Below are 18446 nucleotides of genomic sequence, written 5' to 3'. Positions count from 1 at the left end.
AAGTGTGATGACCCAGAGCTATCTAAACCTCTCCTTTTCCTCATCTGCCTTCCCACTGACAGGGTGTGTTCTGGAATGCACTCCATTGCCATAAGTCTATAGGACCCTACAGGACTGGATAACAGCCTGTGGTTATCCAGTACCTTCTTTGACTAGCTAATTTGATTAGTCAGGAGAGGCTATCTCCTGTAACAAATGTTCCAAATCTTTTTAGCTTTTAAAGTAAATTTTTATTTTTCTGTTTTTATCAAGGTCCAGTGCAGGTTGGTGGTGACAGTGATGAGGGGACATTGTCCATATGTTATCCAAAGTTCCAGGCTCCTTCTCCAAAGTGGATATGTCATATTGTAGGGTCTGTTCCTCTTCTTCACTTGAGACATGGATTGCACAGGGTGTGTCCTATAAACTAGGCCTTATTTGGCCATACACCAGTTATTTTCATATTCCAATAGCCAGAAATCAGTACAAGACCCCATCAAATCACAAGGGTAGCTCAAAACGTATGGTTACCTGTGGATCAAGATGAAAACAAATAAGTTTTGATGAAGTCATTCTGCCACAGTGAGTTTCTCTAATTGGAAGATTTGAAAAGTACTAGCAAGTTCATTTTGCTACAGACGTAAGCTTGCTCTTCAGTGAGCTGAGTCCTGTGTCTACTAATTGGTTTCAAATTCAGCAGGGAAGACACAGGGATTAGTTATTGAGTACCTAAAACTGTGAACATAGAGGGCTTTTCGAGATAAATTTTAAAAACAGAGTCTTTACTCTGGTGTTTAAGCTTTGATCCTGAAAACATATCTGAAATCACATTCCTTATCATGTGGAGTCATCTCTCCTGCAGAAAGAATTAAGCTTCAGGGTGCAGCAGACATGGGTGAGCATTTAAAGGGAAGTTGACATCTACCTAGAAGACAGATCCACTAAAGTTTTCCAGTGCCAGAGAAATGCCATGCTTTGGGCATTTAGAATAGTTCCTACTCTGCCTGGGAGCTCTATACCTTTATCTCCAAAGGAGATGAGCACTCCCTAATTAACACACTCCACCCTCCTGTTCATGGGAGAATCCTACTGGTCACCCAGACTCACAGCTGTGCATTCGATCCATGCTTATCACTGAGGCTAACCCAGTCCTTGATTCCAATCATGAATAGACAAACGTTTTCCAGATATTTAAGGAAAGTGAGGAAGATGCACAAATAGAACTAATTCTAGAGGAGGGAAAAAAAGGATATAATACAGGAAACAGAAGAAAACGTTACCAGAACATACTCTCAGAGTTTAAGAAAGACAAGAGGTTTATAAAATGAGAACAAGCTGTCATAGAGGGGAACAATCAGGGGACAGGCAAAAGTCCTTGCACACTAGAAAAGTTACTGCAGAATTGACGTAGCGCAGAGGTCTGATAGCGCCCAGTTCCCCGGGCTGCCGATGGAACTCAGCGTGCTCCCCCACCCCCACCTGTCGGAAGTCCCGCATGGCTCCGCACCAGCCCACACCCGCCCGACCTCGTGCGCCCCTCCCCCCATAACGGTCTCCACCGCCCACTTCTGGTCCCTTCACAGAATCAGCGACCACACTACCGCCGGGCCCGGAGGACCCCGCCCTCCACCAGCCGCCGCTGTCGTCCACCATGGTGGTGCTCCGAGGACCCCACCGCTGCCGCCACTGCCCACGCCGATGCCGCTACCCGCTCCGGGCCCCTGGCAAACCCACTGCTTTTCCCCTCCTCCCAGCGCCCGCGCTGCCCGCCCTGGGCCCGCTGTCGCAGGTGCAACGGTACCACCACCCCAGCTGTGAGGCTGCCATCAACACCCACATCAGCCTGGAGCTCCACGCATCCTATGTGTACCTGTCCATGGCCTTCTACTTCGACCAGGACGACGCGGCCCTGGAGCACTTTGACTGCTACTTCCTGTGCCAGTTGCAGGAGAAAAGGGAGCACGCCCAGGAGCTGATGAGGCTGCACAACCTGCGCGGTGGCCGCATCTGCCTTCATGACGTCGGGAAGCCAGAGGGCCAAGGCTGGGAGAGCGGGCTCAAGGCCATGGAGTGCGCCTTCCACCTGGAGAAGAACATCAACCAGAGCCTCCTGGAGCTGCACCAGCTGGCCAAGGAGAACGGCGACCCCCAGCTTTGCGACTTCCTGGAGAACCACTTCCTGAACCAGCAGGCCAAGACCATCAAAGAGCTGGGTGGCTACCTGAGCAACCTGCGCAAGATGGGGTCCCCGGAAGCAGGCCTGGCAGAGTACCTCTTTAACAAGCTCACCCTGGGCCGCAGCCAGAAACACACCTGAGCCCAGACAGGCCCCTCAGCCATGGGGTGCCTTCCCCTGCTCGCGCCACCAGGCGGGACGTCCATGTTGCCTTTTCAGAACATTCTCTTCATTTTTCTCCTCTCAGTTTGACCATTGTTAACAATAAAGTTATCTGTTCTCAAAGCAATAAAGGTGTCCAGCCGATGTGTGTCTGCAGCACTCTCACCTTTTAGGAATCAGGGCACATCCCCATGCAGATTTAAAGTAGGTATTCAGCAGTCTTTCCATTCAGCTCTGCCCCATCTGCATGCAGCTCAGGATCTGCGGGGGTGGAGGGGAAAGGTATTTTATGGGCCCCTGGAAAATACATTAGTCTTCCCCTTATAAACTCTGAGGGCGTGTGGGATGGGGTGGGGTGAGGTGGGGTACGGTGGGGTGAGATGTGTGGGGTGGGTGGGTTCGGGTGGGGTGTGCTGTGTTGGGCCATGGTATCTGTGGGTCCGTATGCATGGTACGGTGTAAAACATGGTATGGAATTCATCCTAGCGTTTGCCTCTGGAGAAGAAGGGAAGGAAGGGAATGAGATTGGGCAGGGATAAAAATAATACAGTCTTTAACTTGACATGAAAAGTTATCTTTTTAAAACATGCAAGTGCTAAGTATTCTTGCTTCTGGGCAGCAAGCTGGGGGCTCTGGGGGACAGTATGGCAGAGTACCTCTTTGGCAAGCTCACCCTGAGTGACACGGATAATAGGCTGAGCCTTAGGCTGCCTTCCCCACAGATACGGGGTGACTTCCTGCATATTGCCCTTCAATTGTACCATTTCTTCCATTAAAGCTGGTTAAAAAAACAGCTCAAAAGAAGGACTGAAAAACATAAGGTCAAAGCTGAAGGTCAAATTTGTGATATTGAATATAAAGTAGAATAAATATAAAGTAGAATAAATGCCCCCAAATGTCAAGGCAGTGACTTGACTTGACCAGCCAACCTAAGAGCCACCCTCAAACACAGCTGATCACCTTCTCCTTTGTCTTACCTCCATTTATACTACATTTCTTGTTAATGGCACTTGCCACTCTGTATGGCAATTGTTTCTTCATATGCCTGGATCTTTTAATAGGCTGTAGAACACTGGAGTGCAGGAAATGCAGGAATTTTTTCTCTCATTAAGCCCTAGTATATATATAAACAGGAAATTAAAAATGATAAGTTGAACTTAATTGAAAATAAAAGTCAGATCACAGTGGATTAAAGAATGAGTAGAAGTGAGGTAGTGGAACTAGTTATTATAGTGCAAGGTTATTCTTTCCAATGTCTAAATGTTCCTTGGAATATTATTATTGGCCTACCTGTTTTATCCACCAACTAGATTGTGGATAACTGAACAAAAATATATTTTTAGTAATTAGTCTTTACTCAGAAGGATTTTTTACAAGACATAAAGTTCATGCAATCTGGTTAATTTCCCAAATGGGTCACATATATTCTTTCTTTCTTTGTTAGCTTTGTTATTACTTACTCAGGAAGGGGTCGCTTTTGAAATTTGTGACTTAGCAATTTCTTCCACTTCAATGTCAAAAATAACACTGCATGGCCAAGGCTAGGGATTTCATACATTTCTTTAGCATTTTTGAAGCCTACATTCCTTATCACTCTAGAGACATTATGTAAAATTATTTCATATTTGACAAATGATTCCAGTTTGATTATCATTTTGTCTCATCTATAGAAGTCTGTGTGTGGTGGATGTTGGACAGTCTAATAATTTACTGAACATTTGCTGTATACAAAATACTATGCTATCAATTGTTGGGGGCTAGGATGTTGACAATATAAATAGTCTCTATGCTGAAGAAGCTTGAGCTAGCTAGAATTGTGGCATAGCTTAGAATAATCTACAGAGGACCTCATCGATCAATTTCAAATTAATTAATAATTGATGCTAAGCCTGTAAGGACCAAGAGGGTACAGCATGAGGGGATGATTAGCAAGAACTAGGTCAATAAAAAAAAGAAGTTTTCTGGAGAGAAGTTTGCTTAAAGTGTGTTGATGAACCTCAATTTAAAAGACACTTTCTTAATATTCCCGTCTAGCCAATGCCCTCCTTCTGTTCTCTACCCTAGAATTCCCAAGACATGGACAAGAATTCCTAGAATTCTGACCATGCCATAATCAAACACTGGAAGGAATTGAGTAGGTGGTGACCAGTCTATATTTTAAGTTGAGAGTCTCACTGGGCTGCCACTTGGTGAGATGCCATTGGTCCAAGTTCTGACCCTCATATTTATAAATCTACAGGTTTGACTTTCTCAGTGAACCCAAAGGTGAACAGCTTCTCCGTGAGTGATCAGCAGACTTTTTCTATAAAGTATAATATTTTACAATCTACAGGCCATATTGTCTTTGTCACAACTATTTAACTCTGGTGCTGTGGTGTGAAAGTAGCCACAGACTATATGTAGATGTGGCTGTGTTCCAATAAAACTTTATTTACAAAATTTAAAGGCCGGCCAGATTTAGCCTACAGGCTATAGTTTGCCATTCCCTGTTCTAGAAGACTGACTCACACCAACAATATTTCCAAGTCATTAATCAGCCACCAATAGGACTCATATAAGCGGGACACATTATTACTGCATCTTTCATCAGAAATTGGCCACTAGAGAAGCTCAACTTCAAATCAGAAGTTTGTTTAGTAAGCAACAGGTGAGGCAAATGAAATGTTTTGGTTTGTGTTCTTACAGAAGTGACCCTGATATGGTTTGGGTATTTGTCCCCTCCAAATCTCATGTTGAAATGTGATATGCAATGTTAGAGGTGGGGCCTGGTGGAAGTGTTTGGGTCATGGAGGTGGATCCCTCATGAATGGCTTGGGGTCCTCCCCATGGTAATGAGTGAGTTCTTGCTCTATTAGTTCATGGGAGAGGTGGTTGTTTAAAGGAGCCTCTTACCTTCTCCTCTCTCTCTTGTTCCTTTTCTCACCATGTGACATGCCTCCTCCCCCTTTGCAATCTGCCAAAAAGTAGAAGCTTCCGGAGGCCTCAACTGAAACCATGAATATGCTGGCCCCATGTTTGTACACTCTGCAGAGTGATGAGCCAAGTAAACCTCTTTGCTTTATAAATTACCCAGTCTCGGGTAGTCCTGTATGGTAATGCAAAATGAAGACTCTGAGGCAATGGTTTAAATGTAAGTAATTTATTTGGCAGATAATCCCAGCAACTATCATTAAGGAAATAGAGAAATAAAAACAAGGAATGGAAAGAAGCCAATAAAATTTGCATTATTAAGCAAGATCACCAAAGTCAAGGAGAACATAATCTCCCTGGGAGAACGTGCCTCTGATTTATACCAGTCATGGCACAAGGGAGCTGGGATATTTATCCAGTAACTCGATCCATAATTGGTTGGGGGTTGCTTGTGGGGAGGATCAGAAAGATCTCCAGTGTCCAAAGAAAGGCTTCAGGCTGAGGGTTGTAGGTGCTGGCAGCTGGAAGTTGGACAGCATGTATGAACATGGTAAATGCCAAGGGGCTATGGAGGGAGGGCACCAACAGCATCTGTTAGACTTGTTTTCTCCCAAATGATATTCATAAGGTAGCACAGCTTACTGAGTAAATTTTCTATTACAGGATTTTTTTTCTGAATAAATAGAACTGCTCCTGTAAATCCAACCAACCTTCCTCTCCATGATATTGGATAGGCATTAACACATATTTTTAACAGTTAATCCATTTTGTGAAATAGTTTCCCTTAACCATAGTTGGTATAATCCCAAGATAGAACATATTAGAATTGTCATGAATATAGCTTTTTCAAATTGTTTTATATTTTGTTTACTAATATCTTTTTTAATATTTGGGAATCATGGGGCTTGGGACTGAAAGTGGACCAAACCTCACCCCACTCTTATTTGGCCTTGGCGATTCAGTGTACTATCTGTGCTCTCTTGCCATATTTATTGCTAGAGGCAGCCAAAGGCTGGCCTGTGGGAGTAACTATGGAAAACAAGAGTGTGTACACACTCTCTGAGGACACACCCTAGTTTTGGAACACAACCCCATAAATGAGGAACTCCACAATGCTGGCATGTCCAGGGCAAAGTTCTTAGGCTGTTCCATTAACTTTGTGCCAACCAACAGCAGTCTAAGCCTAACAGTTGAGCTCATGGGCTTTGGCACCATGCAGACCCAAGGTAGATTACTATCTCAGCCACTTGGCTTTGCTGCATGGCATATTCATTCAGACATAAATGTCAATACCTTCCTGGGCATCCTGTGAAAAATCCACTTTCACAAAAGCATTTCAGGACAATGTAGACTTTCTTAACATTTCACAGTAGAGGCCAAGAAAGAGTTCACATCATTTTCCTCAAAGCAATCAACTTAAAAATTTCAATTGACATTTATATTCTCCCAAGTCCCTTCTTGGCCTTCCTGATACAACGATTTTCTCTCTGTCCTTCATACAATGCTCACCGTTATAGGCTCCATTCTCTTCATCCTTCCCCTCACTTCTTTTCTCTTCCATTGTGATATGCAGTTGAGCCCCACTTAGCTCTCCAGCTCATCAACATAAAGGGTTCTCCAGTTAATAGGACCCACCTGCCTTAGAAGAGAAGTGGGATTATGTGTTATTTGTGGCAAGGGGTAAGGGACGCGAATTATTTCATATGCCTCATGTATCCATAAAGGACTTCTACTTAATATGTATTTTTGTGTGTATGTATGTTTCCACTTCATTCCCTGAGAACTAAACACATGTTGGTAACACTGCCAGCCTCTCTCTGCTCCTTTGTCTATTCCTTTCCAGTAGTGAAGAAGCACAACTTTTCTGATCAGAAACAGTAAGAAAAGGAACAAAGTAGATGTGTATGGCAGCCATTCAGGTGTGGCACTTGCAGAACCTCTCAGGAAAGAATTTGCCACTCAGTTGCAAGGAGTGCAGCTAGTTGACAGCCTCCAACTTTTGAAGGCCACATTCTTCTCGGGAAGCCTAGCCAATGAGGAAACACAGAAGAAATGCTAAGGCCTGACCGTTTCTGCCAATATGGGACTCAATTAACAGGAATTATTTGCTTTGGAGCTGCCCTAGGTGTTGACTGAGACTTTGTCAAATCTGCATTGAGATCCCAGGCTTGCCCTGCCCAAACTTACTTTCTCCCCTTCGCTCAATCTTGCTTTCTCACCTCTTTCCTTTCATAGGTGTCATAGCCACAGCATGGTCTAAGACTTTCCCTGCCCAGTTTTGCTTCCTCCCCCTTTCATCTTTCATAAGATTTACCTCCACATATACTGTTTGCACTACTAACTCTGTCTCAGAGTCTGCTTCCAAAAAGACCCAAATAATACAGTGTGGCTCTACAGCTCTACTTCTCTTTTTCTGTCTCTCTGTCTCTCTCTTATAATTTGTACAGAAGATTCAAACACTCTTACAATCTCCATGTGCTGCATGTCTTAGGGAATGTTTTTCTGCTATGAGTGGGAGGCTGGATTCTTGGGTATATTGTTAGGGGCATGGTTTTGGGGGGCCCATTATGACTACATATCTAGTCTCATTCTGCAATTCAATCTTAATTCGACAAAGGTGATTTTTTATCTCTGTTTTATTCCTGTGTTTTATGTCTCAATTAGTTTTTGACTCTGGAGGGAAATAAAAAGGGCTGCTTTATTTATCCTTTCCACCCCAGCATGAATAGGGGTTGAATATTTTTAAATTCTTTTATGTAATTTAGAAGACTTGAATGATTTTCCAAAAGCCACATGGGGTATTTGTTCTGCTCTATTCTTATGAAGTCATTTAAAAAATTCATCCAAAGCATGATCTTAAAAAGTAATGAAAACTGAGCAGAGTGACAGACAGAATTCTATTAATAAAGACACTATTGCAATAATTACTTCTGCTGATGGACTTATTGCTTCCTTGAAGATGTAAGGATAGAATGTATGGACCGTGAGCATGAGGCTTTCCTAGAATTTTAGTGTGTGTATGTATGCTCAGTGTGTGTGTGTTGCGGGGGGGTTGGTTGGTCCTACACAGGTTGTTCGGAAACACCTAGCAGACCGGTTTTACTAGCAGACCGGTTTTACCGTACCAGTCCTTTCACAATTCCTGTCTTTGGGAATCACTGTGCATACAGTTTTTGCTGAAGTGTTGGCCTAGGGCACTCCAACCTTCCCTACCAGCTGCCTGGCCCAGCTTGCCTCAGGTGCCTTCCCCATAGTGTCACTCATTGTTGTTGCCCCATCTGTAACCTCTCAGCTTATCCAGGAGATCATGTGCAACTTCCGTGGACAGTTACTTGTTCCTATACTACCAGAGGCTTCTTACCTTAAGTACCTGTATTTCTGTGACTTAGGACATTCTCTGGCTATAAGAGTATGCTACACTCACTTGTGGGGCAAGCCAGGAAGGGCCAGGCAATTTAATGACCTAGAAGTGACTTTCACAAATGAAGAACAGAATTTGGTGGGTACCTCTCCAATTTCCTTCCTTCTCTTGGAGGGATAATTCTAGGGCATGATGTCTCATGATTAGCAGCATGAGAGATAGCAAAGCCTCTCAGCAGGTCCCTAGTGGATTGAGCTCCCTCGTAATAACTCACTCATGAATGTGCCTTTTATTGAATGTCTTCCCCTTTCTCTTTTTTCCCCTCTATGCTTCCTGGTATTACTCCTTGCCATGCACTGAATGTTTGTATCCCCTCAAAATTTATATGTTGAAACACTAATCTTCAGTATGATGGTATTTGGAGATGAGGCCTTTGGAAGGTAATCAGGTCACTAGGGCGGAGCCCTCATTATGTGATTAATGCACTGAGAAGACACGAGAGAGGTTGTTTTCCTCTTTCTCTGCTCTCCACCATATGAGGATACTGTGAAAAGACTACCATTTTCAAACCAGAAAGAGAGCTCTCACCAGCACCCAACCATGCTGGCATCCTGATTTCAGACTGCTGGCTTTCAAAATAGTGAAAAAAATATTATTTTTCTTTCAGCTACCCAGTCTATGGTAATCTGTTTTAGCAGCCCAAACTAAGACACCCCCCAAATAAACTGCTTGTATCCAAACCCTTCTCCCAGGATCATCTTTTGGGAGAACTCAAGCTAAGGTACTACCCCCGCTCTTACCAGAGTTTTTGGGGAAATTAAAAGTTAGAGTGAGGGTGAGAAAACAGAAAGGAGCAGACATGTGGAATTTAGTGGAGTTGCAGAAACTATGGAGATTTGGGGTGAAGAACAAGGAACTCCTATGGTGACTTTCTCCAAAAAGGCTTTGAGAAAACAACCCCTCTCTATTACCAACTCCCAAGGCACAGTCTCATATCCATGAGCAACCCCACTTCTAGTTTATGTGTGATTCAGTTTCTTCCAAGCTAAACCTGCTTGACTTGACCAGAAGGCCAAATAAATTCAAGCTTGCTCCAAACATGTCTCTTTAGATCAGGTTATTCTCATTTGTAATGAAGAAACTGAGGCAGCTAGCAGGTTGATCATTTGTAACACTCTTTTTTAACTATAACATTCTAAAATGTGGGAGAAGCTCTAGTCCCAATAGCAATCCATGATTAAATAACTGTGAAGTTTGGAAGTTGGGCCTGTAAACATTTCTACAGAGAGCTACTTCATTCATTTTGTTTTATTTGATTCATGTTAGTTTCTAATCAGCCCCCAAAGAGGGTGGAGTATCCTCTTTGAAGGCCCATAGTTTTATATGACTTCACCTTTCTCACACAACCCAGTGATTTGTAATCAAGAATGAATATTTCTGCCAAGTAAAAAATGTTTAACATTATCCCAGCTTAGTAAGGGGAAAGGCAGGGGATAAGGGTGGGTAGCAGGTAGAACCTTCATTAGAGTGAGATGGCTCCCTGAGGAAAACAACTGCAACTGTGTTTTTCGAGTTCTATTCTCGATTTTTTTTTTCTTTTTTAAGAAAGAGCCTGGCTCTGTGACTCAGGCTGGAGTGTAGTGGGGCAATCTCAACTCACTACAATCTTCACCCGACTGGGCTCAAGTGAGCCTCCCACCTCAGCCTCCTGAATAGTTGGGACCACAGGCATGCACCACCACATCTGGCTAATTTTTTGTAATTTTAGTAGAGACAGGGTCTCGCCATGTTGCCCCGGCTGGCCTCAAACTCCTGAGCTCAAGCTGTCTACCTGCCTCAGCCTCCCAAAGTGCTGGGATTATAAGCATGAGCCCCTGTGCCCAGCTCAAGCTCTGTTCTATTCAGCCAATTACCTCAGCACAGGACAGGGGAAGGAAATGGGGCAGGGGAAGGGGTCCCTGTTACTATGGTTAGTGCCTTGGGAAATATATTCCTTGGGCTATTATTGTGGCCTATTACATAAGTAAGCTCAATTAAAGCCAGGTTTATCAGTCAAACATCTCTGCAACCGATCAATAAAGGACTCAGGATATACAGACCATAGTGTCATCCAACTCATGTGTTTTTAGATTTTGGGATGATACTTTCTGAATTCCTGTAGAGGAAGGAATACCTACATAGCATTGGCTCCTAAGAAAGTGACTCAGCAGGCCCCATCAAAGATTGTCATTGAATCAGGCCGTAGGGTTTGGCAGAAGAAGGAGGCCTGGAGAATAGTACAAGCTGAGGGCTGAATCACACTGGCTGGCACTGCAAAGAACCCCATCTAACTCTAGTTAATGCCAGCATTCCATCTAGTTTAGCTCACAAATGGATTTTAGGTACTTCCTGCCATGTAGACTTTCTTGCTTCTCATGCTGTGCTGAAAATAACCTGCTAAGAAACCTGGAAGACCCCCCTCCCCTTGCTTAACCAAATGTCAAAGATTTATTACCAATAATGGACAAACTAACATCATGTGCCTCTTGTTGTGATGCTTTAACAGGACACACAGCCATTTAAGTAGTATTTCTGCCAGAAGAGTACCTAAACCAACTGTAATCATGAGGAAACATCAGACAAACTCAAACTGAGAGATATTTTACAAAACAGCAGGCCTGTGTTTTTCAAGAATGTCCATGTCATGAAACACAAAGAAAGACTGAGAACTAGTCCATATTAAAGGAGGCCAGAGAGACGTGACAACTAAGTGCAACACATTAACATGGATTAGATTTAGGAGGAAAAAGAACAGAATGACCAGAAAAACATTGTTGCAACAACTGTGAAAACTGAATATGGACTGTATATTATATAATAAAGAGCATGGTATCAATGTTAAATTTCTGGAATTGGATACATGTACTATGGTTTTGTAAGAGAATTTTTTTCTTTTGTTTGCTTTTCTTTTAATATTTTTAGAGACAGGGTCTTGCTCTGTCACCCAGGCTGCCTTACATTGGCTTGGTCATAGGCCACTGTAACCTTCAACTCCTAAGCTGAAGAGATCCTCTTGCCTTGGCCTCCCAAAGTGCTGGGATTACAAGTGTGAGCCATGGTGCCTGTCCCAGAATTCTTGTTCTTGGGAAATATATGAAGTTAGCTGCATCTGTCTGTCTCTTCATTCAGGTATTTCAGTGTGTGTTTGTGTGTCTGTGACATACAATTGTAAAATGTTAAAAATTGATCTATCTAAACGTAGAAAGTTATGTGTATTATACTTTATAATAACACTTTGACAGAAATGAGGACATCATAAAACTGTACGCAGTTGGTGTAAGTGGTGAAACTATCAATCCAAATACATGGAATATTGTCTAAAGTTTATAAGAACCAAATTTATAAATAATATATGTTAAGATTATGGCTCAACTTAATAGAAGACCTATATTTATATTTATATACACTTAAATATTATTATAATTAATAAAAACTTATCCAATCTACAAATGAAGTGTAAGAAATTTAGGTATTTATCTTAACTGTTTTCAAAATAATTAATAAATTAAATGTCTTAGGCAAACTACAGAAAGTCATGTGTATTGTATATGCAACTATTTTGCAAGTTTTAAATTATTTCTAAACAAAAAATTTAAAAATACCAAATCATTAATTATTATTATTTTATGAAAAGTAAATTACATTGAGAAAATTTTTCTGCAAGATCCTACTCCCATAGTAAAGTAGAAAGGGAATGGGCCTGGGGCACCTGAGAACTGGTTACTCCTAGCTCCACCATTAAATAACTGAGCATTGTGGGAGAAAGTCACTAAATTACCCGAGACTCAATTTTCTGTAAAATCGACTCCTCACATTTGCAGGACTTCTCTTCCCACATCTTCACTCTAAGAACACCAAATCATAAACTCCTTTTCAAGTGTATTTATTCTTTATTGATTAATTTAAATGTAGCACCCTTCTTCCTGAGAGCAAAGCCACAAACCACCAATGCTGACCAACTTCAAAATAAATGTCTGCAAATGCAATTAAGTGCATTTTAGAATAGACTTGTGCTAACAGGAAGTATAATTAACTCAGAGGCATTCTTATAGAGTAATCCCAGGTTTGTTATATAGGTTCATTTCATCCATAAAGTCAGGAGAATACAACTGAGTTGTACAGAACATCAGCATATCTGACACATTTTAATAAGGGAGATACAGATTATATCCCAAATAAAGAAATGGCAAAAAATGGTAATGAATAGTTTCATTAACAAATTATGACATGATCTGCTGGCAATATTAGTCTGACTCCTACTGATGCAATAAGGCTCACAGCTAGCTGCAAAAGTAATGAATCTGAGCAGAAATTGACTGTGAATTGTGCTTGGCTTAAACTCGGACTAACCATCCTGCTGACCTAAGAGAAATCCATGCAGTAAATTGTTTCGAGAGACACAGGATACAGAAAATTCTGCTTCAAAAGGGTAAAGCATCATTTTCATTTTGAGACCTACTTTCAGGCACTAAATTAAATTTTAGATGACCTCAGCTTTTATCCTGTCTCTAAAAGATCCAACTCAGAAATTTATCGTGCTTCCAGTTTCCAGAACCTAGTATTGGTAATTTTTCTCAGATGAATTCCAAGGCTCGTTCAGCTTGGTTAGGTAACTATAGTTATTATCATGAAAAATGCTAGGTCAGATCAGTTCAATTTTTTTCTTTTTTCTTTTGCAAAAAAGAGTAATATGTGAATGTTTTAGCCAGGTCATTTTGTATTCAGCAACTATCTCTGGCTTTTATTACTTGGCCATGCCATTGGTAGAGGTCAACTGCAAAGCAATGAGCAGGCAGGCTAGAGTAACTTATGTCAAGTGTGTGACAGCTGCATAGTGTTACAGCATTGGCTTTTTCCTCAACACGGATATACTGAGCTACTGCCCCACCTCCAACTCTGTCATCTTGGAAAAGTGAGTTTATTTATTTATCCCTAATTTCTTTCTTTCTTTCTTTCTTTCTTCTTTTTTCTTTCTTTCTTCTTTCTTTCTTTCTTTCCTTCTTTCTTTTTCTTTCTTTGACGGAATCTCACCCTATCACCCAGGCTGGAGTGCAGTGGTGCCATCTCAGCTCACTGCAACCTCTACCTCCCAGGTTCAACCGATCTTCTCCCCTCAGCCTCCCAAGTAGCTGGGTTTACAGGCACATGCCACCAAACCCAGCTAATTATTTTGTATTTTTAGTAGGGATGGGATTTCACCATGTTGGCCAGGCAGGTCTCAAACTCTTGAACTCAAGTGATTTGCCTGCCTTGGCCTCTCAAAGTGCTGGGATTACAGGCGTGAGCCACCGTGCAAAGCCTATCCCTAATATGTTCTATCTATACAATGGGAATATGATTTTATTTCTTGAAAATCAGTGACTGAACAAAGAGAACAAAAGAACAAAGAGAAGACAGAAGAAAGAGTTTCTACTCCAAAAGGAATTGTGCATCTGGAAATGTATTATCTTCTCTTTGCTTTTTCCCAAAGCTCCTCTGAAATAAGAGGAAAGTGGATGTTTTAAAGACAGAAACCTAAAAGGATAAGTACAATGGGAGATAAGACAACAGAAACACAATTTAGAAACTGCAAAGCAGTAAATGACTCAGAAAACTTAAGAAATCTAATTTCTAAACTGGCAGGGAGGAAAGCTGAGAACCAATCTGATCCACCCAGCAGCACCCTGAAAAGCTTAGGACTGGTAGTAATAGTGAGCCCTGAAAATTGGGGTGAGGACAGGGTTAAAAGCAGAAGGATTGGGTGAACTTCTGTGTACAAAGCATTTGGAATCCAGTCCACCTCCCTCACTGTGTGTGTAGCAGGATGAGCCGCAGACAAAACTCCTCAGACACTGGGTTAAAGAAGGAAGGAGCTTTATTTGGCCAGGAGCTTCAGCAGACTTGGCATCTCAAAAGCTGAGCTCCCTGAGTGAGCAATTCCTATCCCTTTTAAGGGCTTACAACTCTAAGGGGGTCCACGTGAGAGGGTCGTGATCAATTGAGCAAGCAGAGGGTACGTGACTGGGGGCTGCATGCATCAGTATTTAGAATGGAACAGAACAGGACAGGGTTTTTCACAATGCTTTTCCATACAATGTCTGGAATCTATAGATAACACAAGCAGTTAGGTCAGGGCTTGATTTTTAACTACCAGGGTGGGCATCTGGCTATCTGCCTGTGGATTTCATTTCTGCCTTTTAGTTTTTACTTCTTTCTTTGGAGGCAGAAATTGGGCATAAGACAATATGAAGGGTGATCTCCTCCCTTATGGGCAGCATTTGACTGTCCTGCCTAGACTCAAACAGCAACTGGGGATCAGTCTATGGAGAGGATAAGACAAGGAACTTCAGGACCAGAGAACACCAGGCATAGTTGAGGTTAGAAGTACTGTGTGAAAACTAGGGGATTAAGTGAACATTTATAGACAAAATTTGAGATGCCGCATCTCCCAGATTTCTTCTTCCACTTAGCTCCTGTAGCAATGGCACTCAGACTTGTGACCTCCAGGCAGGTTATTGGATAGTCCTTCTCTGTGGATGTTTAAATTAAAGGTTCCCCAAGGGAATAGGCCAGTCATGTCACCACATTACCATGTCACCCACATTCGACAAAACCCAACTACTCCCATAGAGCTTCCAATCAGCTTTTGAATACATCATATTTAAGGATGAACAGACAAACCAAAGAGAGAAATTTTCCGAGGAAATCCTCCAGACTGGAAGATGGAGGTCAAACAAAACAAAACAAACAAACAAACAAACAAACAAACAGAAATAGCAGTGTGGGAGGACAAACGGAATTTGTAAGGATAAGATAATTTTAAAGAATAAAATTTCACTCTGATGCTAGTTTCTTTTGCTGTGGAGAAGCTGTTTAGTTTAATTAGATCCCATTTGTCAATTTTGGCTTTTATTGCAATTGCTTTTGGTGTTTTCATTATGAAGTATTTGCCCGTGCTTGTGTCCTGAATGGTATTGCCTAAGTTTTCTTCTAGGGTTTTTATGGTTTTGGGTTTTATGTTTAAGTCTTTAATCCAACTTCAGTTAATTTTTGTATAAAGTGTAAGGAAGGGTCCAGTTTCTTTTTTCTGCATATGTCTAGCCAATTTTCCCAGCAACATTTGTTAAATAGGGAATCCTTTCCCCATTGCTTGTTTTTGTCAAGTTTGTTGAAGATCAGATGGTTGCAGATGTGTGGTGTTATTTCTGAGGCCTCTGTTCTGTTCCATTGGTCTACATATCTGTTTTGGTACCAGTACCATGCTGTTTTGATTACTGTAGCCTTATAGTATAGTTTGAAATCAAGGAGTGTGATCCCCTCAGCTTTGTACTTTTTGCTTAGGATTGTCTTGGCTATACGGGCTCCTTTTTTGTTCCATATGAAATTTAAAGTAGTTTTTTCTAATTCTGTGAAGAAAGTCAATAGTAGCTTGATGGGAATAACATTGAATTTATAAATTACTTTGGGAAGTATGGCCATTTTCACGATATTGATTCTACCTATCCATGAGCATGGAATGTTTTTCCATCAGAGTGAACAGGCAACCTACAGAATGGGAGAACATTTTTGCAATCTACCTATCTGACAAAGGTCTAATATCCAGAATCTACAAGGAACTTAAACAAATTTACAAGAAAAAACAACCACATCAAAAAGTGGGCAAGGATGTGAACAGACACTTCTCAAAAGAAGACATTTATATGGCCAACTAACATGGAAAAAAGATCATCACTGATCATCAGAGAAATGCAAATCAAAACCACAATGAGATACCATCTCATGCCAGTCAGAATGGTAATTATTAAAAAGTCAGGAAACCATAGATTCTGGTGAGGCTGTGGAGCAATAGGAATGTTTTTACACTGTTGGTGGGAGTGCAAACTAGTTCAACCATTGTGGAAGACAGTGTGGCAATTCCTCAAGGATCTAGAACCAGAACTGCCATTTGACCCAACAATCCCATTACTGGGTATATACTCAAAGGATAATAAATTATTCTACTATAAAGACACATGCACACATATGTTTATTGCAGCACTATTTACAATAGCAAAGACGTGGAACCAACCCAAATGCCCATCAATGATAGACTGGATAAAGAAAATGTGGCACGTGTGCACCATGGAGAACTATGAAGCCATAAAAATGATTGAGCTTATGTCCTTTGCAGGGACATAGATGAAGCTGGAAGCCATCATTCTCAGCAAACTAACACAGGGACAGAAAACCAAACACCGCATATTCTCATTCATAAGTGGGAGTTGAACAATGAGAACACATGGACACAGGGAGGGGAAAAACACACACTGGGGCCTGTTGGGGGGTGGGGGGCAAGGGGATGGGGAGCATTAGGACAAATACCTAATGCATGCGGGGCTTAAAACATAGAAGATGGGATGATAGGTGCAGCAAACCACCATGGCATGTGTATACCTATGCAACAAAACTGCGCATTCTGCACATGTATCCCAGAACTTAAAGTAAAATTTAAAAAAAATTTCATTAATATCCTCAGAGAGAAAAGAATATTGCATCTACTAAATAGGAAAAGGGTGCTAGTGAAAGGAACATTCAGAGAACAAAAACAATTCTTTTGAAAATTAAAACAATGAAAATATTAAAAGTTTAAAATACAATGTTGAGAAAAATTTCCACAAAGTAGAGCAATAAGACAAATAGATAATAGGGTAAGGATAAAAAAAATTTAAAGAACCAATCCAGATGGTTCAACATGCAATTATTAAGAATTACAGAAAAATAAGACAAAGAAAATTGAGAGAAAGAGATTGTTAAAGAACTAGTAATAAAAAGTCCCTTAACAGAAGGACATGACCTTTCACATTAAAGGGCCTATCAGATGCTCAGCAAAATTGACAAAAATAGACCCATACAAAGGCATATGATCACTAAATTTTGGAGCCCACAGGGACAAAGAGATAATCCTTCCTTTATCCAGAGAGAGGAATAAACTGTTGATATTCAAAAGGCCAGGGATTCTAATGTCTTCAGTCCTTTTAATGGCAGCCCAGTAGCTAGAAGGCAATGGAGCAATGCCTTCAAAAATTTTAAGGTGAAAATGATTCTCAAGCTAGAATTCTATTCAATTTTCAACTAAGTGTGAGAGTCAAATGAAAATATTTTTGTATAAGTGAAGTCAAAAATTTATTTCCTATGTGTTTGTTCTTAGCAATGTACTAGAGGATGAGCTTCATCAAAATAAGGAAATAATCCAGGAAAAGGGAGATAAGGAAGACAGGAAACAGTGGATGCAACGAAAGAGGCCACAGAAATTCACAGGCTAAGGGATGGGGGAGATCACACAATGGCAGCTATACACCAGCAGACTGGGTTGGAGGTAGCCTGAAGACTTCAGAGAGCTTATTCAAGATGTTGAAATGGAGAGAACACTTGATCCATTAAATGGGTTAGGAAGAGATTTAGACAACTAATAGAGGTGGAGATTGAGTTTGTACTAAGAATGTGGGAAACTGAGCAAGCAAAAAAACATGGCAATTATTAACTATACGTAAAATAAAATGTTGTGCAAAAATGGAAAAAGTAACCATACTGTTATTTGGGGCTCATCTGTGAATAGTATTTACATAGTCAGTGAAAACACTTAAGATTGAACTAATCATGATTATCCTGTAAGTATATGAAGGTGATAGGTGATGGGTGCGTGTGTGTGGTGGAGGTTTGGAAGGGTGAAATGATCTAAATCCTCATCTTCAGTAAGTGGAAGTCAGCAGAAAATGCTGAAAACTGAAAATAAAGAAAGTAATAATCAGGTTATTTAAAGATACCAAACTAATTAGCTAAAAGAATACAAAATTATTGCCT

The 18446-nt window shown here is 41.1% G+C and overlaps 1 pseudogene across 1 annotated transcript; it reads left to right on the top strand.

The window, feature by feature from the left end:
* The first annotated feature begins 1526 nt into the window (after nucleotides 1–1526).
* FTHL18P (ferritin heavy chain like 18, pseudogene) lies at nucleotides 1527–2444 on the top strand (annotated as a pseudogene). The gene has a single exon (NR_171164.1). The product of NR_171164.1 is annotated as a ferritin heavy chain like 18, pseudogene (transcript).
* The last annotated feature ends 16002 nt before the right edge of the window (nucleotides 2445–18446 follow it).

Source organism: Homo sapiens, chromosome X (genome assembly GCF_000001405.40).
Source record: "Homo sapiens chromosome X, GRCh38.p14 Primary Assembly".
In the NCBI taxonomy this organism is placed as follows: Eukaryota; Metazoa; Chordata; class Mammalia; order Primates; family Hominidae; genus Homo; species Homo sapiens.
The sequence above is the reverse complement of the archived record's forward strand: the minus strand, read 5'-3'. Positions and strand labels throughout refer to the sequence as shown.